Source organism: Homo sapiens, chromosome X (assembly GCF_000001405.40).
Source record: "Homo sapiens chromosome X, GRCh38.p14 Primary Assembly".
NCBI lineage: Eukaryota > Metazoa > Chordata > Mammalia > Primates > Hominidae > Homo > Homo sapiens.
Window position 1 is genome coordinate 100,885,782 of NC_000023.11, and position 26,503 is coordinate 100,912,284.

The following is a 26,503-nucleotide window of genomic DNA, read 5'->3' on the forward strand; positions in this document are numbered from 1 at the left end:
TGTCTCTACTAAAAATACAAAAATTAGCCAGACGTGGTTAATACCTGTAGTCCCTGTAGTCCCAGCTACTCGGGAGGCTGAGGCTCGAGAATTGCTTGAACCTGGGAGGTGGAAGTTGCAATGAGCTGAGATCGCACCACTGCACTTAGGCCTGGGTGACAGAGCCAGACTCCGCCTCAAAAAAAAAAAAAAAAAAAAAAAAGGAGTCAGCTTAGTTCCCTAGTCTTTTCTGAGCCTGTTAATCTAATGGAAGGGATCACCCTTTTCTGTCTCATAGGTGGTCCAGCCAGGCCCATTAATGTGTGCCTATCGGGCCTGAAAAGAGCTAGCTAGGCTGGAGAGAGAGCAGGTGATGGACAATCTTTGAGTAAAGATTGACAATGTGTTTCTGTCTTGGAACTAACCTCTCTTCACTCTGATTTTTGCTACCATTAAGTAGTTTCCTGGTAGTACAAGAAGAGAGAAAAAAGGCAACTGTGGGAGAGAGGAGTATTTTATTGTTTTATAATTGGTCTCTTAGATAGGTGTAGTTTATTTCAAAGGGGGAAAATGAATGTCTTTAGGAGTTTGAAATAAGCTGTATTTTCTCAGTGGAAACTTGATTCTACTGGATTTTTTAGAGACTCAATTGGAGAACAAAGTGAGTGTTCATTCAATGTTCATTCAACATTTATTAAATATTTAATTTTGAACAGGCATTATGTTAGGAGCTAATGATACAGAAGTAAGTAAGACAAACAAGTTTCTTGTCCTCAAGGAACTTATATTCTGGTGGGAGGGACAGATAAAAACAACTGAAAATAAAAGTATTTCAGGTAGTAATGAGTGCTATGAAGAAAACTGAAACAGGAAAGGGAGTAGGGAATGATGTGTGTGAGGTAGAGAGGCTATTTTATTTTTCTCCTTTAATGGAAGCCTATCTTTATGCTCATTAAAATGCTTTCTGATATGGTCATTTTTAAAAGGCCGCCCAAACACTTCAAATCTGTGGGTTTATGGAGCAGCATTAGCCAGCAGCTAGTTTCTATTCCTGGCAGAGCTTTGAACTTGAATTGTGATAGAAGCATTCAACATAATCAGGGGTAGTGGGTAAGGAAAGTCCAAATCTCTGCCATTCCCAAATCCATAGAGTTGTCATTTCATTCAAGAGAATTAAATTGTTTATTGATTACACATGATAATGGATGATACACAAGCTTCATTCCCATCTATAATTTTATCTGGTACCATTATTCAATTTAGATATATTGCATAGGATGTGCCAACAATCATTTTTATAACCAATAATTCCATGATTTTGCTTGGGTAGTCCCTTTTAATGGTGAACTTCAGGTCACAACAGTAACTATCAATTCAATTACACCAAGGTTTCTGAAGACAATGGCTTCTCCACCCAAGCAGGTTGTATGTAAATTCCAAATAGAACCTGGCATCACCCTGAAGGAATTCCAACTTCACACTGCTGGGGAAATTTACCAAGATGGCTTCAGAGTAGACTAACTTTACACAGCACATTAAAAAAAAAAAGACATTTATTCAGCGTCACGATCAGACTATTACATTTAGCAATCAACAACATGGGTGCAAGGAAAAAAATCTACATTAAAACCCTTTGTTGAAATGCTTTACACTTTCCACAGAACAGAAACTAAAATAACCTGTTATACAATTAGTCACAAATACAGTCCTCAAGTTTTTTGCCCATACACATGAATATTTGTCTAAAATATGTCTTCTTTGTAGCAGCTAGGCCCTGTCACCACTGTGCTTGGCTGAGTTCACGAATCTGTTGTAAACTGCAGCTTCCCTGTCACTTCTCTGGCTCTCCTCTCCTGCTAAGCTCTGTTTCCTAATTAACATCTTCTGCCACTGCCATAGCTACTGCTGCTACTGGAACCACCATAGCCACTGTGGTTTGGTGGTTTGGCAAAGTATTGGCCTCCGCCACCATAGGGGCCAGAGCTTCTGCCCCAAAGTTTCCTCCCTTCACGGGTCCAAAATTTGAAGACTGACTGTTGTAATTGCCAAAATCATTGTAGCTTCCACCACCTCCAAATTGCTTCCATCATTACCAAATCCATTATAGCCATCCCCACTGCCACCATATCCACCACCACCATGGCTGCCACCAAAGCCACCACGACCACTGACGTTTCCTCCATGACCAAAGTTGTCATTCCCACAGAAACCACCTCCACAACCACCACCAAAGTTTCCAGAACCACTTTGACCTCTTTGGCTGGAAGAAGCACTAGCCATCTCTTGCTTTGACAGGGCTTTCCTAACTTCACAGTTGTGGCCATTCACAGTATGGTATTTCGGAATGACAATCTTATCCATGGAGTCATGGTCGTCAAAGGTTACAAAGGCAAAGCCCCTTTTCTTGCCACTGCCTCAGTCATGATTTCAATCACTTCCATTTTTCCATGCTGTTCAAAATAATCTCTTAGCTGATGTTTTTCAGTGTTTTCTTTAATGCCACCAACAAATATCTTTTTCACAGTTAAGTGGGCACCTGATCTTTGATAATCTTCTCTTGAGACAGTTCTCCTTGGTTCCACAACTTTTCCATCCACCTTGTGTGGCCTTGCATTCGTGGCTGCATCCACCTCCTCCACAGTGGCGTATGTAACAAACCCAAAGCCCCTGGAGCGCTTGGTGTTTGGATCTCTCATTACCGCACAGTCTGTGAGCATTCCCCATCGCTCAAAATGGCTCCTCAGGCTCTCGTCGGTTGTTTCAAACCTCAACTCTCCAATGAAGAGCTTCCTCAGCTATTCGGGCTCTTTAGGAGACTCTGACTTAGACACGACGGAAGGGAGAAGAGAGACTTTAATGATGCTTCTTTGTTGGCATCCACAGGCAGAAAGGAGCAAGCTGACAAACGTATCTGGAGAGGCTATTTTAAATAGAGTGATCAGGGAAGTCCTTTTTGAGAAGGTGGCATATGAGATAACATGTGTATGCTGAGACGGGAACAGCCAGGCTTCTTTAGGGTTCTAGACAGAAAGACTTGCCATGTACAAAGGACCTGAAATGAAAATCAGCTTAGTGTGCTAGAGGAACAGCAAGAAGGCAAGAGTTATATGTTGAATTGTGTCTCCCCAAAAATTCATATGTTGAAGACATAACCTCTAGTGCCCTAGAATATGACCTTATTTGAAAATAGGGAACTGGCTGGGTGCAGTGGCTCATGCCTGTGATCCTAGCACTATGGGAGGTTGAGGTGGGCTGATCAAGTGAGGTCAGGAGTTCGAGACCAGTCATGGCCAACATGGTGAAACCCCATCTCTACTAAAAATACAAAAATTAGCCGGGCATGGTGGTGCGTGCCTGTAGTCCCAGCTACTAGGAAGGCTGAGACACAGGAATTGCTTGAACCCGGGAGGTGGAGGCTGCAGTGAGCTGAGATCGCACCACTGCACTACAGCCTGGGTGACAGAGCAAGACTCTATCTCAAAAAAAAAAAAAAAAGAAAAAGAAAAAGAAAAAAGAAAATAGGTACCTTATAGATGTAATTAGTTAAGATGAGGTCATACTGGAGTAGGGTAGGCTCCTAATCCAATATGACTGTGTCCTTATAAAAAGGGGGCAAGTTTTTTTTACTTATTTATTTATTTATTTTTTTAAATTTTTTCAGAGACAGGGTCTTCCTAGATCATCCAGACTGGTCTCGAACTCCTAGCCTCAAGCAATCTTCCTGCGTCAGCCTTGCGAGTAGCCATGATTACAGATGTGAGGCACTGTGCCTGGCTAAAAACAGGGGGAATGTTTGAATGCAAACATGCACATGGGGAGAACACCATATAAAGATGAAGGTAGAGATCAGGGTGATGCTTCTATAAGCCAAGGAATGCCAAAGATAGCCAGCAAACCACCAGAAGATAGGAGACAGGCATGGAACAGATTCTTCCTCACAGCCCCCAAAAGGAACAAACCCAGGCAGATGTGGTGGCTCACACCTATAATCCCGGCAATGTGAGAGGCTGACGTGAGTGGATAGCTTGAGCCCAGGAGTTTGGGACCAGCCTGGGCAACATGGTGAAACCCCATCTCTACAAAAAATACAAAAATTAGCTGGGCGTGGTGATGCATGCCTGTGGTCCCAGCTACCTGGGAGGCTGAGGTGGGAGGATCACCTGACCCCAGGAGGTCGAGACTGCAGTGAGCCATGATTGTGCCACTGCACTCCAGCTTGGGCGACAGAGTGAGACCCTGATAAGGAACAAACCCTGCCTCCAGAAGTATGAGGCAACACATTTCTGGTATTTAAACCACTCAATTTGTGATACTTTGCTATGGCATCCCAGCAAATGAATACAACCAGAGTTGCTGGACAGAAGTGAGGGTAGGTGGGGAGAGGTAAGTTCAGAGAGGTAGATAAAAGTCAGATTACCTAGGGCTTTGCAAATGGACCTAAACTCGTTGTTTTTGGTAGATTTAAGAAGCGTCTGAATATTAGAGGTAGGCGAGGGCCATAAGTCACCTCTCCTACAACCTCCTTACTAGGTAGAATATTAAAATGAAAGTAATTGTCAGACTGAATTCTATGACACATACAGTTATTAGCAATCAGGGACCAAAACAGTCACACAGTCTTTCCTTGTAAAGTGGGTCAAGTATAGGTTGGTGCAAAAGTAATTGCGGTTTTTGCCATTAAAAGCAATGACGAAAACTGCAGTTACTTTTGCACCAACCTAATACATGCTCTGATCTTTAGGAACTCCAGCAAGTCCTTTACATAAAAAATCCACATGAAATAGTTGGCCTAATATTATGGTAACAGGATCAACCTATCTTCTGGTTGGAACAGGAAAATCTTCTATTACGTGATACTATTTATTTATTTTATTTATTTATTGCTGTGTTACAAATTACCCCCAACATGTAGTGGCTGAAAATAACATTTATTATCACTAGGGACATCTGGCAAGCTGGCTCTTTATAGGATCACACAAAGTCTGAGGCCTAGATGCCATTCCAGAACATGCTGAACTGTTGGGCTGGCTTGCCAGATTTTTATCTTTTATTCATGCAAGCATGTACCTTCATACATGGACAAAATTTCTAGCCATTGCACATATTTTTAACAGAATTCATTTCACCAATGAAATATTATTTCTTACATCCTTTATACTAATTAATGGACTCTCTGGTACAAGATTTCCTCCCCTGAGGTTCTGTGAATAGAATTTAGGGGTGCTCTTTGGACTTTGATGGGAAAAATTAAACCTTTATTTTTATTCATTTCTAATTGAATGTAGTCAACAAATTATAGTCTTATTATCAGTGTCTGCAACTTTCTCACCAACATATATCAAAAATATTTTCATATCACATTATAGCTGTTGCAAATATCTCATAAGATCAGTTATGCTCATCACTATTTAAAAATTGTGATGATTATAGACCTGCTCTAGATCGTGCTATTTGCTAGGTTAATAAAAAAGAACACACAATATTGTTAAAATGTCCATGCTACCCAAAGTGATCTATAGAGCCAATACAATCCCTATCAAAATTCCAAGGACATTTTTCACAGCAATAATAATAAAAAATACTAACATACACATGGAACCACAAAAGGCACAGAATAGCCAAAGCCATCCTGAACAAAAAGAACAAAACTGGAGGAATTATGTTACCCGATTTCAAATTATACTGCAGAGAGATAGTAACCAAAACAGCATGGTAATGGCATAAAAAAGACATATAGACTAAGGAAACAGAATAAGAGTCCAGAAATAAATCTACACATTTATGGTCAATTGATATTTAACAAAGGTACCAATGGGGAAACAGCAGTCTCTTCAATAAATGATTTTGGGGGCCAGGCATGGTGCTCATGCCTGTAATCCCAGCACTTTGGGAGCCCGAGGCAGGTGGATTACTTGAGCCCAGGAGTTTGAGACCAGCCTTGGCAATATAGTGAGACCCCATCTCTATTCATAAAAAAGGGAAAGAAGGAAAGAAGAAAGAAGAAAAGAAAGAAAGAAAGAAAGAAAGAAAGAAAGAAAGTAAGTTAAAAAAATTAATGGTGTTGGGAAAACTGGATATCCACATGCAGAAGAATGAAACTGGACCCTTATCTTATACTATATTAAAAAAAACTCAAAATGGATTAAATACTTAAACATAAGGCCTGAAACTGCAAAACTACTAGAAGAAAACATAATTTAAAAGCTTCTTGACATTGGTCTAGACAATAAATTTTTGGATATGACCCCAAAAGCATAAGCAAAACTAGACAAATAGAATTGCACTAAACTAAAAAGCTTCTGCACAGCAAAGGAAATAATCAACAAAGAGAGACAATCTACAGAATGGGAGAAAATATTTGCAAACAGTATATCTGATAAGGGGTTAATATCCAAAATATGTAAGGAACTCAAACAACTCACTAGAAAGAAAACAAATAACTCAATTAAAATAGCTTGAATGAATGAATAAGACCTAGTATTTGATAGCAAAACATGCTGACTATAGTTAATAATAATTTAATTGTATAAGTAAAAATAACTAAAAGAGTATAATGGGAATATTTGTAACACAAAGGTTTAATGCTTGAGGGGATGGATACCCCATTCTCCATGATGTGATTATTACACATTGCATGCCTGTATCAAAACATCCCATGTGCCCCACAAATATATATACCTACTATGTACCCATGAAAATTAAAGCTAAAAAAAATTAAAATAAATGTAAAAAAAACAATTAAAAATGAGCAAAGGATCTGAATAAATATTTTCAAAAGACAACAAACAAGTGGCCAACAGGGATATAAAAAAATAATGTCCACCATCGCTAATCATCACAGAAAGGCAAATCAAAACCACAATGAGGTATCACCTCGTACTTGTTAGGATGGCTACTTTCAAAAACAGGAAAGATAACAAGTGTTGGTGAGGGTATAGAGAAAAGGAAACCCTTGCATACTGTTAGTGGGAATGTAAATTAGTACAGCCATTATGAAAAACAGTAAGTGGTTCCTAAAAAAGTTAAAAACAGAATTACCATATGATCTAGCAATCCCTATTCCAGGTATATATCCAAAGGAACTGAAATCAATACGTTGAAGGCATACCTTCGCTCTCAAATTCATTGCAGCATTCTTCACATTAACCAAGATATGGAATCAACTAAGTGTCCACCAGTGGATGAATGGATAAAGAAAATGTGGTATGTATGCACAACAGAATACTATTCAGCTTTAAAAAAAGAAGGAAATCCTTTCATTTGTGACAACATGGACAAACCTAGAGGATATTACACTAAGTGAAATAAGCCAGGCACAGAAAGATAAATACTGCATGATCTCACTTATGTGTAGAATCTTGAAAATTTGAGCTGGTAGAAGCAGAGAGTAGAATAGTGACTACTAGGGACTGGGGTGGGAGAAATAGAAAGATGTTGGTCAACATGTACAAAGTTTCGGTGAGGATGAATCAGTTCTGGAGATCTATTGTACAGCATGGTGACTATAGTAAATAATAATGTATTATATACTTGAAAATTGCTAAGAGAGTAGATCTTAAATGTTCTCACCACACAAAAATGGTAAGTATATCACTGTTGGTGAGGATGTAAATTAGTACAACCTCTACAAAAAAACAGTATGGAGATATCTCCAAGAACTAAGAAGGGAACTACCATTCAATCTAGCTATCCCACTACTGTATATCTATCCAAAGGAAAAGAAATCATTGTATAAAAAAGACACCTGCACACATATGTTTGTCACAGCATTATGTGCAATAGCAAAGACATGGAACCAACCTAAGTGTCCACCAACAGTTGATTGGATAAAGAAAATGTGGTGGCGATACACCATGGAATACTACACAGTCACAATAAAGAACAAAATAATGTCATTTGCAGCAACATGGATGCAGCTGAAGGCCATTATCCTAAGTGAACCAACACAGAAGCAGAATATCAAATAGTGCATGTTCTCACTTACAAGGGGAAGCTAAACAAATGGCACACATGGACATAAAGATGGGGCAAATAGACTCTGGGGACTCCAAAGGAGGGAGAGTGGGAGAGGAGGAAGGGGTGAAAAATTACCTACTGGGTACAATGTTCAATATTTTGGTGATGTGTACACTAGAAGCCCAGTCCTCACCATTACACATTTAATTCCCATGTAACAAACATACACATGTACTACTTGAATCTAAAATAAAAATTTTTTAAAAAGTAGGCCGGGTGCGGTGGCTCATGCCTGTAATCCCAGCCCTTTGGGAGGCCGAGGCAGGCGGATCACAAGGTCAGGAGTTTGAGACCAGCCTGACCAACATGGTGAAACCCCATCTCTATTAAAAATACAAAAATTAGCCTAGCATGGTGGCGCATGCCTGTAATCCCAGCTACTCAGGAGGCTGTGGCAGGAGAATTGCTTGAACCCGGCAGGGGGAGGTTGTAGTGAGCCAAGATTGCGGCACTGCACTCCAGTCTGGGCAACAGAGCGAGACTCTGTCTCAAAATAATAATAATAAGTACGTGAGATAATTATATTTAAATTAGCTTGACTTGGTCATTTCACAATACATACAGATATCAAAACATCATGCTGTACACCATAAATATATACAATTTTGTCAATCATACCTTAATAAACCTGAGGGTGAAGAAGCACATGTTAATGTCATAAATTGCATCTTTAATATTTTGATATCTGCATTTGAATGCATTTATGTTTTTTTCAGCCTGTGGTGTAACCATAGCTCATTGCAGCCTCCACTCCCGGGGCTCAAGCGATGGCAGGGGAGTAATCAGCCTCCCAAGTAGATGGGACCACAGGTGCACAGCAACATGACCAGCTAATTTTTAAATGTTTTGTAGAGGCAGTGGGGAGGAGTGGGATGGGATGGGGGGCTGGTCTTCCAATGTTCTTCAGACTGGCTCAAACTCCTAGCCTCAAGCAATCCTGCCACCTCAGCCTCCCAAAGTGCTGTAACTACAGGCTTACACAATTGGTTTTGATTGTAATCCTATGTATTTTATTTTGGGTATTAAAAGCATGACTCTGAAATGGGTTCACCAGTTGGCCAAAGGGGACCATGGCAAAAATAAAGTATAAGAATTTCTGAGTTAGTGCAAGTTCAGACAGGAAAAAGTGAATATCCTGGGGTATAATTACTTCTGGGATGTAAACACCTGAGTAGGATCTTTCAAATAATAACTAATCACTCCTGAGTATGTATTCCTGATTAGAATAATTCGGATGTTAACTAACCACCCCCAGAGTGTGGATTAAAACTAATTAACAATGAATTGTAAAAATTGTTTATCAGTATGAATAAACATTACCGGTTTCTCCTCCACTTCAAAGTATATACTAAATCCACCCCTTCTTCCTACCTCCACTGTCCCCAGCCTAGGCTGGTATTTCAAAAGATCATTTCATAGACAGACACAATATTTTGTTAAATAATTAATTCATGAATCCAAAATGTCATAGGTTGTAAGACTCATCATTCTTTTCTGCACCCAGAAAGAAAATTTGCTGTTAATTAAATTATGACATATTATTAATGGTAAAATTCATCCTAATTTCAGAGGTGATTAAAAGTGAAAAAGATATGCATTTTAGAATAGATGAAATAAGGTATATCACACAGCTGGTACTGAAGCATTTTGAAGCAAATTATGAACAGTATACATTGCACATATACAGTATAGCATGGTAAGGAGTTTGGATTTGATTTTCTTCACACTTAGGTAAAGTCGACATTTCCGTTCTGAAGCCTGCTGACCTGCCACAAGATGGCGAGAGCTCCAAGGAGACACAGGGAGAGGCAGCAAATGGAAGTGAAGGCCAGCACCACAGGTGAAAGATCAACAACAAAAACAATGATGGGTCTGTCTTGCGGGGCCTCCATTGGGTCTATTTCAATGTTGGTAATAATGAATAGAAAGCAAGCACTTCAGAGAAGCAGAAAGATGAACATCTGATGTTCCATTCTGCCTTGTGTATACTGGGGTATACCCTCCAGACACAGGTTCATGGGCGAGATCACTTGGTTAGTGTAGACAGCTGACAATGTAGACTCATTAGCAATCAGGCTGTCAGGGCTGTTTAACATGTTTCAGAACCTTCCTCAGCCACAGGCAGCCAGGCAAACTTGAGAAGTGGCTCATAACAAGACAAGGCTTGCCACAAAGGGTTGCTCATTCCTGCTAGGCAACCCATTTGTTTTAAGCACAGGGTATGTAATAGGAAAAATAATAGGATGTGAGCTGTGGTGTATTTCTGTGGGATGAGTGGTGAGGGAGGTGAAGTCTCTCCCAGGCCATAAAACTCAGAGTTACCAATTTGGTCCACACTGGCTCTGTGGAAAGATATAAAAAGACCTGGATTCCCTCACACATTGCTGCTGGGAATGCAAAATTGTATAGCCCATTTGGAGGGGAACTTGTTAATACATAGAGCAATCTCACTTCCTGGAATCTATTCCAAAGACATACTGGAAAAAAATGCAGAATGACATATGCCCAGTGCTATTTATTGGCATTATTTATAATATTAAAAGACTGAAAAAACCCAATATAACCACATAATGGAGTAATACACAGTTGTAAAAAGGAAAATAATTCTCATATATTCACATGGAATGATCTCTGGATGTATGAAGTGAAAAAAATCAAGGTAAAGAACAGTTTTTATCATGTATCATCTTTGTGTACAAAAAGGGAAATACACACATACATGTGTGGTTATACATATATTTGCTTATATTTTTAAATAAGAAACATTAAAAGTATGAACCACAATCTTACAAAACTGGGGGAAGGAGGGAACAGGATGAAGTAATAGGAACGGAAGCTAAATTTCTCTGGATGTATCTTGTTAACTAGTTTCATCTTTGGAAGCATAATTAAAAATAAAATTAAGTGACCAGGCACAGCGGCTCACGCCTGTAATACCAGCATTTTAGGAGACTGTGGCAGGAGGATTGTTTGAGCCCGGGAGTTTGAGGCTGCAGTGAGCCGTGATTGTGCCACTGTACTCCAGCCTGGGAGACAGAGTGACACCCTATGTAAAAAAATTATTAGAAAAAATTTTTAATAATATTAACTCAAAGGGAAAATAAGAATCAATCCCAAAAAACTAAAAACAAACTGAAACAAATGAACTTCACTGTTTATCAAGTTGGTGGCATAATCATACAAATAGAATACCTTCAAATTACTTTAAAACAATATTTTGACCGTACATCCCTAATGATATATGATCTAAGGACAAAATGAAGCACAAAGAAATCTTAAACTGCTTTCCATAGTCTTAATGTTAATAGTAATATTGGTATTGTTATTTTTAAATTATTATTGGTTTGTTTAGAATTAAGCAAATAAGTATGAAGTTAATATACTTAGAAACAAAGATTGTCAGGGTAAGAGAAAAAAGACACAAGTACAAGATAAAGAAATTGGGTAAAACCCTGTACCATTAAATTTGAATTGGAAATAGCTTTATAAACTCATTATATTTTTCACATTTAAAAATATCTTTTTCGGCCAAATGCGGTGGCTCACACCTGTAATCCCAGCACTTTGAGAGGCCAAGGCAGGTGGACCACATGAGGTCAGGAGTTCAAGACTAGCCTGGCCAACATAGTGAAACCTGTCTCTACCAAAAAATACAAAAATTAGCTGGGTATAGTAGCATATGCCTGTAGTCCTGGCTACTCGGGAGGCTGAGGCAAGAGAATCGCTTGAACCGGGGAGGTGGAGGTTGCAGTGAGCTGAAATCACATTACTGCACTCCAGCCTGGGCAAAAAAAAAAAAATCCCACAAATATATATATGTGTGTGTGTGTGTGTGTGTGTGTGTGTGTGTGTGTGTGTGTGTGTTTCCTAGTTCTTTCTACCGAAAAGCCCAGAAGCAATGACAACTCAACAGCAAAAAAAAAAAAAAAAAAAAAGACCTTTAGCACCCAGCCTTTGGTCTTTCAATACCATTTCCCACTGAAGGAGTCAGAATCCTTTGGAGAAATTGCTATCCAGGTCGGGGTCAGTAAATGTATGAGATGAGCCTAGGACATCTTGCAGCAGAAAGCAAGGAAGCTATCAAAGATTACTGGGATTCTGTCAAAAAAACAAGGAACCACTTTGGAGGGGATTCTACTGGCCAATGATAAGACAATTTGTGCATAAAAATAATGAAGGGACATCTGGTTTTGGCTCAGGCATGTTACGAGTGGCAGTGCTGTCCTTACACAAAAATTAAAAGCCGAGGTCACTAAAAATGGTGGAGTAGATAATTCCAGGGTTCTGTCCTCCATAAAGGTAACTAATAAGCTGTCAAACTGTCAGAAGCAACTTTCACAATACTTTGGAATCTAGTCAACAATTTACACTAACCAAGGGAAAGCTTAATGAATAAAGAAGCTGCTACATTGTAATAACTGAAGACTCTGGCATTTAAAATTGCCTGTCTGCTGTCCTCACTCACCAGATCAGTGGCACCTATGAAAATGGCAGCCTACATTCTTGGTGCAAGTTGCTTTTGCCAGAGGAAACAATACAGACCTCTTCTCATTGTGGATGTGTATTTTGATCTGTCTGGTGACTCCCTGAAGGAAGGGTGCAAGGGCTTGCCTTTTTTTTTTTCAACTGACTTGAAATGTTCCAAGGTCTGGGGCAGCTTACTGGGAAGATTTGCCAAAAGCATTTCACAGCAGCCTTGGCAAGAGATAGCACTTAGGACAAGCAATAGACAGACTGAAAAGAATGGGAAGGAGGAGGCTAGGAAAGGAGATACCGAGGGGAATAATGGATTTCAAAAGCTCCCACCTAAACAACAACAACAAAAAAAAAAAAACAAGAAGGCCATGCACATGCCCAGGGTTGAACACATGCTCTGTAAAGGTTTGAGAGAACCTTAAGCTTTCATGGGTGGGTGACCATCAGACTCCACATAAGCAGGACATGAAGTCTGAGGCATAGTTGCAAATGTGTTGGCTAAGCATTGAAGGACTACCCCCCAAAAAAGAGCCAATCTACAAGGCTTGGAAGAGCATTAGTTTCTTTTTCTCTTTTCTTTCTTTCTTTATTTTTTGACTCCTGGCATTAAGAAGAAAACTTCATCAAAACACTTGCTGACCACTAAGCTAATGGAACACAGACTTCATGGCCACATGTAGCAAAGAAATCAGACTTTAACAAGTAGTTTAGAAAAGTCACTAAACAAACAACAATCCACAACAAGCAGAAACAAAAATCCTGCAATAGAGAAGAATCCGAGTTCCAGAGTTCCAACTTTTAATACTCAAAGTATCCAGTCTTCTACAAAAAAATAATGAAACATGCAAAGAAACAAGAAAGCATGGCCCATATGTATACAAGAGTAAAGAAATGAATGAAACTGCTCCTGAGGAAACCCAGGTAGTGGAATCACTAGCGAAAGATTTTAAATAAACTGTCTTAAGAGAATACTAAGAACAGGCCGGGCGTGGTGGCTCATGCCTGTAATCCCAGCACTCTGGGAGGCCAAGGCAGGCGGATCACTTGAGGTCAGGAGTTCCAGACCAGCCTGGCCAACATGGTGAAACTCCATCTCTACTAAAAATACAAAAGCTAGCTGGGTGTCATGGCACTGGCCTGTAGTCCCAGCCTCTTGAGAGGTTGAGGGGGGAGGATCACTGGCGCCTGAGAGGCAAAGGATACAGTGAGCCGAGATCATGCCACTGCACTCCAGCCTGGGTGACAGAGTGGGACCCTGTCTCAAAAAAGAGAGAGAGAAATTGAGAAAGCCCATTCAAATGGAAAAGGAAGAAGTAAAATTATTCACAGATGACTTGATCTTATATATGGAAACTTCTAAAGAATCCACAAAAGCAATTCGAACTAACAAAGTTACAGGTTGTAACCTGTTGTGCTGTGTAAGATCAGCACAAAAATTCAGTTGTGTTTCTATGCACTAGAAGCAATGTAAAAGTGAAATTAAGGAAACAATTTCATTTCCAATAGCATAAAAAATAATACATAGGAGTGAATTAAACCAAGGAAGGGCAAGACTTGTACAATGAAAATTATAAAACGTTGTTGAAAGAAATTAAAGAAGACCTAAATAAATTGAAAAATATCCCATGTTTATGATTGGAAGATTTAATATTAACATGACAATACTACTCAAAGTGATCTATAGATTCAATGCAATCCCTATCAAAATCTCAGCCATCATTTTTGCAGAAATGGAAAACATGAATGTAAATTTTAAATGGAATTGCAAAAGACCCCAAATAGCCAAAATAATCTTGGAAAAGAAAAACAAAACTGAAAGACTTGGCCGGGTGCAGTGGCTCATGCTTGTAATCCCAGCACTTTGGGAGGCACAATCTCAGCTCACTGCAGCCTCAACCTCCTGTGCTCAAGTGATCCTCCTACCTCAGCCTCTGGTGTAGCTGGAACTACAGGTGTGCACCATTAGTCAGGATAATTTTTTATTTTTTGTAGAGATGGGGGTCTCACTATGTTGCCCAGGCTGGTCTCGAACTCCTAGGCTCAAGTGATCCTCCTGTCTTGGCCTCCCAAAGTTCTGGGATTACAGGTGTGAGCCATCACACCCAGCCCCAGTCCTTATTTTTTCACTAATATTACCTTTCCTCTCCAAGCTACCTGGACTCAAAATCTCAGTTGTCTTTGACAATTACTTTTTCTTGTCCTCAAGTAATAAAGAATGATCATATCCATAATTTAATATTTGATATCATTTTAAGAATGTATGTCCTGGCAGGGCATGGTGGCTCACACCTAAAATCCCAGCACTTTGCAGAGCCGAGGTGGGAGAATCATTTGAGCTAAGGAGTTCGAGACCAGCCTGGGCAAGATACCGAGACCTCGCTTCTGTAAAATTAAAAAAAAGAAAAAAAAGAATGTATGTCCTACTGGTTTTCAAAGACTGAATCTATCATATATATAAAAACACCTTAAGGGGAAGGGGGGTTTGAGAATGTAGGACCTCTGGCCCCTATCCTCGAGACCCAGCTTCACAATCTCCTTTTTTTTTTTTTTTTTTTGAGACAGAGTCTTGTTCTGTCGCCTAGGCTGGAGTGCAGTGTCACGATCTCGGCTCACTGCAAGCTCTGCCTCCCGGGTTCACGCCATTCTCCTGCCTCAGCCTCCCGAGTAGCTGGGACTACAGGAGCCCACCACCACGCCTGGCTAATTTTTTTGTATTTTTAGTAGAGACGGGGTTTTACCGTGTTAGCCAGGATGGTCTCGATCTCCTGACCTCGTGATCTGCCCGCCTTGGCCTCCCAAAGTGCTGGGATTACAGGCGTGAGCCACCGCACCTGGCCCACAATCTCCATTTTTAACGAGCTCCTTAAGTAACTCTGATGTACACCAAAGTTGGTGCCATTGGTTTGTGTGTATGTATCTATCTATATACATATGTGTGTATATATCATGTGTCATAAGTGTAAATAATAAAGAAAGAATAATGGGAGAAAAAGCCCCAAATGTAAGCAGTCTATAAGAAATTCACTTTACATTTAAAGAATTAGGTTAAAAATTAAAGAATGAAGATATACCATGCAAACACTAAGCAAAATAAAACTGGAGTAGCTATATTAATTTCAGAAAAAAAGTCTTTGAACAAAAGAGGCATTACATAATAATAAAATGGTCAATTCTCCAGGAAGACATACCATCCTAAACATGCATGCAACAACAGAGCCTAAAAATCCATGAAAGAAAACTAGTAAAACTGATAGGAGACACAGAAAAATCCACAAGTGAGAGATTTCAATACCCTTCTTTCAGTAATTTAAAGATCAGACAGAAAATTAGTAAGATACAGATGACCTTAACAGTACTATCAACCAATTTGACCTAATGGACATTTACAAAACACTTCACCCAACAGCAGCAGAATACATTCTGCCTAAGTGCACATGGAACATTCATCAAGATATCACATTTTGAGGCTGGGCATGACGGCTCACACCTGTAATTCCAATGCTTTGGGAGGCTGAGGCGAGTGGATCACCTGAGGTCAGGAGTTCAAGACTAGCCGGACCAACATGGTGAAACCCTGTCTCTACCAAAAATACAAAATTAGCCAGGCATGGTGGCACATGCCTGTAATCCCAGCTACTTGGGAGGCTGAGGCAGGAGAATTGCTTGAACCCAGGAGGTGGAGGTTGCAGTGAGCTGAGATTGTGCCATTGCACTCCAGCCTGGGCAACAACAGCGAAACTCCATCTGAAAAAAAAAAAAAGATATCACATTTTAGATGATAAAATACACTCAACACATTTAAAAGAATAGAAATCATACAAAATGCATTCTCAGACAAAAAAAAAATTAAGCTAGAAATCAGTAACAGAAAGATAGCTGAAAAGTTCCCAGATATTTGGAAATTAAACAATACAGTTCTAAATAACTCACAGGTCAAAGAATAAGTCTAGAAATTAAAACATATTTTGAACTAAATGAAAATTAAAATACATCTTATCAAAATTTGTGGAATGCAGTGAAAGCAGTGCTGAGGGGGAAAATTATGGCATTATATGCATATATTAGAAATGAAAGATATAAAATGATACCAACTGCCTATAACCTTTCCCAGAAAGTGGAAAAGAATGAAACAATTCCCAACTTATTTTATGAGGCCAGCATTACCGTAATACCAAGTCCAGACAAAACATTACAAGAAAATGACAAATACCTCTCATGAACATAGGTGCAAAAATTCTTAACAAAGTATTAGCAAATTTAATCCAACAATATAAAAAATAATAATATATCAAGAACAAGTGGGATTCATCCCAAGAATGAAAGTCTGTTCTATCATTTATAAATCAATTAATGTAATTCATCATATTAACAGACTAAATAGCAACCATATGATCCTATTAATACATACAGAAAAAAGCTGACAAAATCTAACATCCATGCATGATAAAAATGTTTGACAAACTAGGAATGGAGGGGAATTTCCTCAATTTGATAAAGAACATCTATTTTTTTTTTTTAGATGGAGTCTCGCTCTGTCACCCAGGCTGGAGTGCAGTGGCGTGATCTCGTCTCACTGCAAGCTCCGCCTCCAGGGTTCACGCCATTCTCCTGCCTCAGCCTCCCGAGTACCTGGACTACAGGTGCCCGCCACCATGCCCGGCTATTTTTTTACATTTTTAGTAGAGATGGGGTTTCACTGTGTTAGCCAGGATGGTCTCGATCTCCTGACCTCATGATCCACCCACCTCGGCCTCCCAGAGTGCTGGGATTACAGTCGTGAGCCACCGCACCTGGCCAAGAACATCTATTTAAAAAAAAAAACAAAAAACCTACAACTAACATCATACTTCATGGTGAGAAACTTGGAGCTTTCTGCTAAGATCAGAAACAAGGAAAAAAACAAAAAGACAAATAACAACAAAAAAAGGCAAGAACGTTTCATCTCAGCACTGCATTCCAACATATTGGAAGTCCTAGATAATGCAATAAAGCAAGAAAAGGAAATAAACTGTATATGGATTGGGAAGAAAGAAATAAAAGTGTCTTTGTAGTTAACATAATTTTCTATGCAGAAAATCTGAAATAATTGACAAAAAACTGCTGGAACTGGAACTAATAAACAATTATAGCAGGGTTGCAGGATACAAAATTAATATACAAAAATTAATTGCTTTCCTATATACCAGCAATGAACAAGTAGAATTTGAAATTTATAACAGATCAAGGAGCATGATTGCTGGATTGTATGGTAAGAGTATATTTAGTTTTGTAAGAAACTACCAAATTGTCTTCCAAACTGACTGTACCATTTTTATTCCCACCTTCAATGAAATGGAGTTCCTGTTGCTCTACAGCATTTGGTATTATCAGTGTTTTGGATTTTGGACATTCTAACAGGTGTGTAGTAGTATCTTGTTGTTGTTTTAATTTGCAATTCCTTAATGACATATGATGTCAAATATCTTTTCATATGCACATTTACATTAGCACCCCCCAAAATAAAATACTTAAGTATAAATTTAACAAGATAAGTACAAGTTCTATATAAAGAAAACTACAAAACTTTGATGGAAGATATCAAATAATAACTAAATAAATGAAGAAATAGTCCATGTTCATGGATAAGAAGAATCAATATTGTCAAGCTGTCAGTTCTTCCCAAATTCTTCTATAGCTTGAATACAATCCCAATCAAAATCCCAGCAAATTATTTTGTGGATATCAATAAACTGATTCTAAAGTATTTATGGAGAAGCAAAAGGCCCAGAATAGCCAACTTGGTATTGGAAAGGAAGAACAAAGAGGTTGACGCTACCAAATTTCAAGACTTACTATAAAGCTACAGTAATCAAGACTGTGTGGTATTGGTGAAAGGGTAGACAAATAGATCAATGGGACAGTAGAGATAGCCCAGAAATAGACTCACATAAATAGTCAACTGATGTTTGGTAAAGGAGCAAATGCAATACCATGGAGCAAAGATGGTCTTTTCAACAAATAATACTGGAATAACCAGACATACACATGCAGAAACAAACAAACAAACAAACAAAAAACAAAAAAAACACCCAGACCTTACACCCTTCAAAAAATTAACTCGAAATGGATCAGAGACTTAAATGTAAAACACAAAATGATAAAACTCCTAGAAGATAACATAGGAGAAAATCTAGATGACATTGGATATGATGATGACCTTTTAGATACAATACCAAAGGTATGATCCATGGAATAATTGATAAGCTGGACTTCATTAAAATTAAAAAGCTTTCAACTTCATTCTTAATTAAATAAGTTCCTGCTTTCCTGCTCTGGTGCTGAATTCCTGGCTTGGCGCCCTAAGCACATGATTCTTCCATGCCACTCCCAGGGAAGTTCAAGTTTTCTGACCTGGCTATGCCTGTTTAATCCTACTCTCCTGGCTGGGAGACAAGGAAGCTTGTCCAGCAGGTGTTGATACCTGGGGGTTGAGGCTGGCAGAAGGAAGGTCTTATGGGTAAGTGAGCCAATCCGATGGAGAAGAGCAAGTTGGAAAATCAAGTGAGGCAGGTAGAAGTTGGTAAACCAGAGAAGCAGAGCCAAACGGGTCAGGAAAGGAAGAAGGGCTGGAGCCCAAAGCCAAGAATATAAGCACATGGAGGGCAGGGAACCATATAGAGAAGGCTAAACCATGAGCTGGTTTGGATAAATATTGGAAACAGACGCCTTTTGCCTGTTTTCTGTGTGATGTATGAATAGATCTGCCCCAATTTAAAGAACCAACAATGAGTATAAAATGCTCACTGACTTCAGTCCTACCCAGTCCAGACCATGGGTCCCAACATCTATGGGAGGTAGTATAGTAAAATGGAAAGAATATGAGCTTTGGAATAAGACCAGGGCTTAAATTCTGGCTCTTTGTCTTAGTAGCTGTGTGACCGTGGGCAAGTTACTCTCAGCTTCAGCTTTTTTATATGAAAAAGAGAGACAGAATCTACCTCACAGAGTCATTGTGATGATAAAATGAATCTATATTAATGATCCAAGATGGCCCTTGGTATCTCATAAGCACTCAACAGATGATAGCCCTCTTCCTTCAAAGGCATCTATCATAACTGGCCTTGTATTTCTATTTAGTTGAATGAAGCATGTCTCTATCTTTAGCCAGATCTTAAACTTGTTGAGGGCACACACTGTGTGTGAATCATTTTCATACATATTTACTTTTTAAAGCAATGTATTTTTCTGATTACAAATATCGTGTAAATTTATACAAAATCTAAATGTTGCAAAACACTAAACACAGGAGAAATCTCTAGTATTCTCTCCCACCTTCCCAAACAGAACTGCTGAAAAAAGCTTGAAACATTTTCCTCTACCCCCCCATATTGTTGGTTTTGTATTTTACAAAAATGGGATCATTGTTAACATATGATTCTCAAAATAAATCTAAAACAAATAAACATAAGTTTCATACAAATAGAGAATTCATATGTATCAAAGATTTATTTAACTCATTGAGGAGGAAACCAGTAAGGTGGCAGCCAACTCAAAAGAGGATATGAAAACAGGTATTTTATATATAGTCAGTAAAAACACCAAAGGAATGCTAAAATAAGATTGCTAAATTAGAATCAAAGCTGGTTAATGTTCTACAGGGCAATAAGAACCAAAATAGTGGTGTCTTTTAAAAAATAATTTAATGAACATATAGTTTAAGATATAGTTTCATTTCTACAAAGATGCATTTAAAATTACAATTTTAGAGCCAAGACAGTTCTATTAAATCAATTGTCAATATTAACATAATTGATTGTTTCATCCAATAATGTTATATTCCAGGTTTTTCTTTTAAAAAAGACTACTTTTAAGAGCAGTTTTAGGTTCACAGCAAAACTGAAAGGAAGGTAGGAAGATTTTCCATATATCCCCTCCCCCCACAAGTGCATAGCCTCCCTCTTCATCAACATCCCTCATCAGAGTAGTGCATTTGTTACAATTGATGAAGATACATTGACACATCATAATCACCCAAAGTTCATAGTTTACATTAAGGTTCACTCTTGATGTTGTACATTCTATGGGTTTGGACAAATATGTAATGATATGTACCCACCAATGTAGTATCCTACAGAGTAATTTCACTGCCCTGAAAAATCCTCTGTGCTCCACTTATTCATCCCTCCCCTTCTCCCTGTGGTGTCTTCTTTAGGTGGACAGAAAACAATGTCACTGCATCTTGCCAGTTTTACAGAATTGTAAAATCACTGGAATCTCATCAATTGTGTTAAATTGCAATTATCTAGACCTAGAGAGTCAGATGACCCTCAGAGAGGCCTGTTAAAAAAATTATCTTAACATGACATTAAAGCATCAAGTAGTCATCTTTCCTTTTGTATTTGTTTCCTAGTGCTGCTGTAACAAATTACCAAAAACTAGGTGGCTTAAAACAACACACATTTATTCTCTTAACAGTTCTGGAGATCAGAAGTTAGAAATCTGTTTCACAAGGGCTGAAACAGCCATGTCAGAAGGGCCATGTTCCTTTTGGAGGTTCTATGAGAGAATATTTCCATGCTTTTTCCAGCTTCTGAAGCTGCTTTCTCGCATTCCTTGGTTCGTGGCCTCTTCCTCCATCTTTAAAACCAACAGCATAGCATCCTCAAATCTCTCTGCCTCCATCTTCGCATCACCTTTTCTCTTATAAGGATCCTTGGGATTACACCAGGCACACCTGGATAATTCAAGGTAACTCCCCTATTTCAAGGTAAACTGATTTGCAACCTTAATTCCCCCAGCTATGTAACATAACATATTCACAGGTTCTGAGGAGCAGGACATGGAGATCTTAAGTAGGGGTAGTCATTATTCTTCCCGTCTTACTCTTGCTTCCAAATTTTGAATGATTTTTTATAGCCTCATCTTAGACATTTTATTCTTCAACTTGCTTTTGTCACTTAAAAAATTTTTTTTTTAGTTTTTGAGACAGGGTCTTGCTGTGTCACCCAGTCTGGGGTGCAGTGGTGCGATCATGGCTCACTGCAGCCTCAATCTTCTGATCTCAAGTGATCCTCCCACCTCAGCCTCCCAAGTAGCTGGGACGACAGGTACACACCACCATGCCTGACTGATTTTTCTTTTTCTTTTTAGTAGAGTTGCGGTCTCACTCTGTTGCCCAGGCTGATCTCAGATTCCTAAGTTCAAGCAATCCTCCTGCCTTGGCCTCCCAAAGTGCTGGGATTACAGGCGTGAGCCACCACATCTGACCTGTCCCTTATCTTTTCATTCAGCACATGCTGTATGCAGCTACCCCATTCCTCTTAATGGGTAGATAGTATTCCAATTATGGAACTGTTACAGTTTAGTCATTTCCCCATAGATGAAAATTTAAGTTACCAGTTTTTCACCATGATAAATAGAGGGGCAATGAACACCCCTATGCATAACTCTTCGTGTAATTGTGACTATGTTTCCATAGGAAAATTTTCTGGTGGTTAAAATTCTGAGACACAATGCATGTCAATTTAATTTTCACAAATATTAACAAATCACCTTTCAAAATGTACATCAATATCTTACACTCATACCAATAATGTGTGAGAGTAACTGTTTATCTCCCACATCTCTTACACTAGTTATATGGAATTCATTTTTAAATCTTTCAGGATCTACACAGCATTTTGAGATATCCATATAGGTTTTCTTGGCAAAAAATAAAAGCTTAATCCTTGGTGAATTGAATGTTAAAACAATGCAAATCCATATGTATAACTCAGAGGGCTTATCCTAACAATGATGCATTGGTAACAGATAATGTATGTAAATGTGCTTTTCATATTATAAAGTGCTATTCAGATATTATTTTCATGCATGGAGTGTGTGTGTGTGTGTGTGTGTGTGTGTGTGTTTGAAACGGAGTCTCACTCTGTAGCCCAAGCTGGAGTGCAGTGGCATGATCTCGGCTCACTGCAACCTCCTGGGCTCAAGCGATTCTCATGCCTCAGCCTCCCAAGTAGCTGTGAGTACAGGTGCGTGCCACCACGCCTGGCTAATTTTTTGTATTTTAGTAGAGACAGGGTTTCACCATGTTGCCCAGGATGGTCTCGAACTCCTGAGCTCAGGTGATCCACCTGCACTGGCCTCCCAAAGTGCTGAGATTACAGGTGTGAGCCACTGCGCCCGGCCAGAATGTGTGTTCTTTTCATACTTAGTTCACATATCTCACACAGGTTGGCCTCACTACTTGCCAGTTTCACACAGTGTACGTTCTTTTGCCAAGACTCAACATATTTCCGCTATGTACCCCAGAGGCTCTAAGGTCTAAAGTGTGTGACTGATTGTGCCAATCCTTCAGGAGGAAAGACATGGTAAGATTATGGACATATGTGTCCTCTGAAGATAGTAAGACAGCCCAATAGCAAAGGCTTCAGAGAACAAGGGTTCCCACTCTTAAGTAGGTAAGTATTTCACAGGGCAGAGTCAGCTGATTATGTACTAAAGAATTTCCTAGATATAAAGCCCCATGGGCTTAGATGGAAAGTCCTGGTGAGTACCCTACCCCACAGATGCCTGCCCCACCCCCACCCTGGAACATGACAATAAACTCTGTAATGTTAAGGACCATGACCATATGAGATGCAGGCATGAAGGGGCTAGCTGAAAGGGCACTGAAGGTTGACCTAGGCTCTAGGGAGGGGCACTATTCTCTACTGTCCACTTCCCTTGGCCTGCTCTAGAACTAGAAGTCAGCTTCCTAGCAGGAGTAAGAGCAGTGCTGGCAAGATGAAGTGGAAGGGAATGGGCTTCAGCACTGGCCTGATTGGTTGTTCCTGGAGTCAGAGTTCATACAACCCTTAGCAGGAACTGCCCTCTCCAGTTTTCTTCCCACAACCACGGTTTGAAAGGTGTGTAAGGAAGAGCATACAGGAGTTAATGTCCTGAAATTAGAAAGGAAATGGGCCCCTCTACCATCCTTCTCCTCACTATCCCAGTACGAATCTATAAGTACATGTGAGCATATGCTCAGCTTTCATCCCAGGCGTTTTAGGACTTCTCTCTAGAGAGAATTCAGTGGTGCCTCCTGATAAGGAGTGTTTAAGGGGAAAAAATGTTTGGGATGAACCCAACCATAGCTCAGAAAATACTGCTGAAACCACTAACACATTAAAATGCTTTCATAAGGACCTAAGAGGACTTAGAGGCTTGTACCATGATTAAGAGCATAAGCTCTGGAGCCTAAGGGCATAGGACTGAATCCTGTCTCTGACACTAGCTGTGACCTTGGACAGGCCTCTTAACCTTCTTATGCCTTAGAATCATCTGTAAAATGGGAGATAACAATACCTACCTCATAAGGGTTGTTGTGAGGATCGAATGAAATAATGCATATAGGCCTGGCACAGTGGCTCACGCCTGTGATCCCAACACTTTGGGAGGCCAAGGCAAGTGGATCACCTGAGGTCAGGAGTTCAAGACCAGCCTGGCCAACATGGTGAAACCCCATCTCTACAAAAATACAAAAATCAGCTGGGCATGATGGCGGGTGCCTGTAATTCCAGCTACTTGGGAGGCTGAGGCGGGAGAATCACTTGAACCCACAAGGCGGATGTTGCAGTGAGCCGAAATCGCACCACTGCACTCCAGCCTGGGTGACAGAGCGAGACTCCATCTCAAAAAAAAAAAAAAAAAAAAAAAAAAAAAAAGCATATAAAACACCTAGTACCGTGCCAGGAATATAGTAGGTGCTCATAAATATAAGCTATTATTTAGTTCTCCCACAGTGCCTCACAGTCCTATGCCCATAGTCTTTGAAGTTCTTGTGGAGCAAATGAAATTGAAAACTATTAGTTTATTTCTTTTCCTAACATGCAAATTTGCCCATACTTAGCCTACCAAATTTCCAATAATATGAGAATAGCTGTTGTTACAATGGCCTACTTCTTTTCCCCAAACTTCATAGTTATGTCTGCCTTTTCCAGAAACCATTTTCTGGCCCTGTCTCTGCCTCCTCTCCACTCAGCAAGACTTGTCCCTACACATGTACCCTATGTTGCTTTAAGATTTAAGAGAGTAGGCCAGGGGTGGTGGCTCATGCCTGTAATCTCAACACTTTGGGAGGCCGAGGCAGGTGGATCACCTGAGGTCGGGAGTTCAAGACCAGCCTGACCAACATGGAGAAACCCCGTCTCTACTAAAAATACAAAATTAGCCAGGCATGGTGGCATATGCCTGTAATCCCAGCTACTTGGGAGGCTAGGGCAGGAGAATCACTTGAACCCGGGAGGTGGAGGTTGCGGTGAGCCAAGATCATGCCACTGCACTCCAGCCTGGGCAACAAGAGCAAAATTCCGTCTTAAAAAAAAAAAAAAAAAGATTTCAGAGAGGACTGTGCGGCCTCGGCTCGTGGGTCTCTGAGACCTGAAAATTGAGAGCATTTTCGCACCCCAGAGGCTGCTACTGGCAACTCTGCGGCCTTCACCATGCCACAGAACGAATATATTGAATTACACTGTAAACGCTATGGATATCGTTTGGATTACCATGAGAAAAAGAGAAAGAAGGAAAGTCGAGAGGCTACGAACGTTCAAAGAAGGCAAAGAAAATGATGGTCTGAAGGCTAAGCTTTACCATAAACCGTGCCATGCTGAGAAAATACAAATGAAAAAGACTATCAAGATGCATGAAAAGAGAAACACCAAACACAAGAATAATGAAAAGACTCCACGGGGATCAGTACCTGCCTATCTGCTGGACAGAGAGGCACAATCTCGAGCTACAGTACTTTCCAATATGATTAAACAGAAACGAAAAGAGAAGGTGGGAAAATGGGAAGTCCCTCTGCCTGAAGTATGTGCCCAAGGAGAAACAAAAGTATTAAAAGTTATTCGAACAGGAAAGAGAAAGAAGAAGGCATGGAAGAGGATGGTTACTAAAGTCTGCTTTGTTGGAGATGGCTTTATAAGAAAACCACCTAAATATGAAAGACTCATCAGGCCAATGGGCTTGCATTTCAAGAAAGCCCATGTAACACATCCTGAACTGAAAGCCACCTTTTGCTTACCAATACTTGGTGTAAAGAAGAATCCCTCATTCCCACTGTATACAACTTTGGGTGTTATTACCAAAGGTACTGTCATTGAGGTAAATGTGAGCAAACTGGGACTTGTGACGCAAAGAGGCAAAGTTATTTGGGGAAAATATGCCCAGGTTACCAACAATCCTGAAAATGATGGATGCATAAATGCAGTCTTACTGGTTTGACAGCAATTTAATATATAATTATTGAGGACTACAAACCAATTGAAAAAACTGCCATTACTGTGATGTTTCTGAATACCACCAAACAGCCTTATATGTCTGCAATCATCAAGAGATTTATTAAATTGCAAACATTAAAATGGTTAAAAAAAGATTTCAGAAAGTAAGAAGAGAGTAGTCAATTTTAAAAGTGTTTGCAAATGGAAGGGAGCAAGTTCCCTGCCCCACTACCATATTTCACAATTCCATCTTCTCCTGTGTATCTGGAGGATTTTTACAGAACCAAAAGGCCACCATCTGTAGGAAGTTCTAAGGGTTCATTTACATAATGTATCACTAGAGTCTTTTCTCCTTGGGTGAGGGCAGCAGGTTTTTCAGGTCAGAAACTACTCCACACCCCTAAACTCTCTGCATTCCCAGGATGTTAAGTCACTGAGGAAGCTGGGGAGAATATACAGAAGGAAAATTTTGCCTGGTCCAGTACTGAGGCACACTTTTTGCCCTGTGTAGCGTCATTTTATCTCCAATTGACTTCCTTAGATCAGTATGTGTCTATATGTTTCCATAGCACCCACTCCTTAAGTAGCTGATTCACATGGCTTTTATGGACCAAATTATTGTTCCATGCTGCTCTTGATTTTACTTGAGGGTACAGTGACTATTGGGGAGAAATTCTTGCTTGAATTCCAAAGAAGTAATGTGTTCTTCTGGAGGTCTGATAGATTAGTTCTTTCAAGCCTCACCTTGAATAACATAGTTAGAAGACAGCAGGTGAGCTTTATATGACAATAACTAA

The 26,503-nt window shown here is 39.6% G+C and overlaps 1 protein-coding gene and 2 pseudogenes across 1 annotated transcript in view, besides 1 other annotated feature; 1 reads left to right on the forward strand and 2 right to left on the reverse strand.

Annotated features, from left to right (window-relative positions):
- Window positions 1–1,134: 1,134 nt before the first annotated feature.
- The window catches only part of XKRX (XK related X-linked), a 72,428-nt gene continuing 47,059 nt past the window's right edge, over window positions 1,135–26,503 (reverse strand). Inside the window, exon 4 of the mRNA XM_011530954.4 lies at window positions 1,135–3,031. Within this exon, the coding sequence (XP_011529256.1) occupies window positions 2,992–3,031 (40 nt within the window). The 3' untranslated portion in view covers window positions 1,135–2,991. The remainder of the gene's footprint in view (window positions 3,032–26,503) is intronic.
- HNRNPA1P27 (heterogeneous nuclear ribonucleoprotein A1 pseudogene 27) lies at window positions 1,848–2,892 on the reverse strand (annotated as a pseudogene).
- Window positions 9,612–10,113: an enhancer, noted in NCBI's record as "NANOG hESC enhancer chrX:100150382-100150883 (GRCh37/hg19 assembly coordinates)". NCBI's record gives its function as "activates a minimal SCP1, AML or CMV promoter by ChIP-STARR-seq in naive H9 embryonic stem cells {active_cell/tissue: H9 hESC(naive)}" and the evidence as "EXISTENCE:reporter gene assay evidence [ECO:0000049][PMID:30033119]".
- On the forward strand, window positions 24,833–25,462 carry NSA2P3 (NSA2 pseudogene 3; annotated as a pseudogene).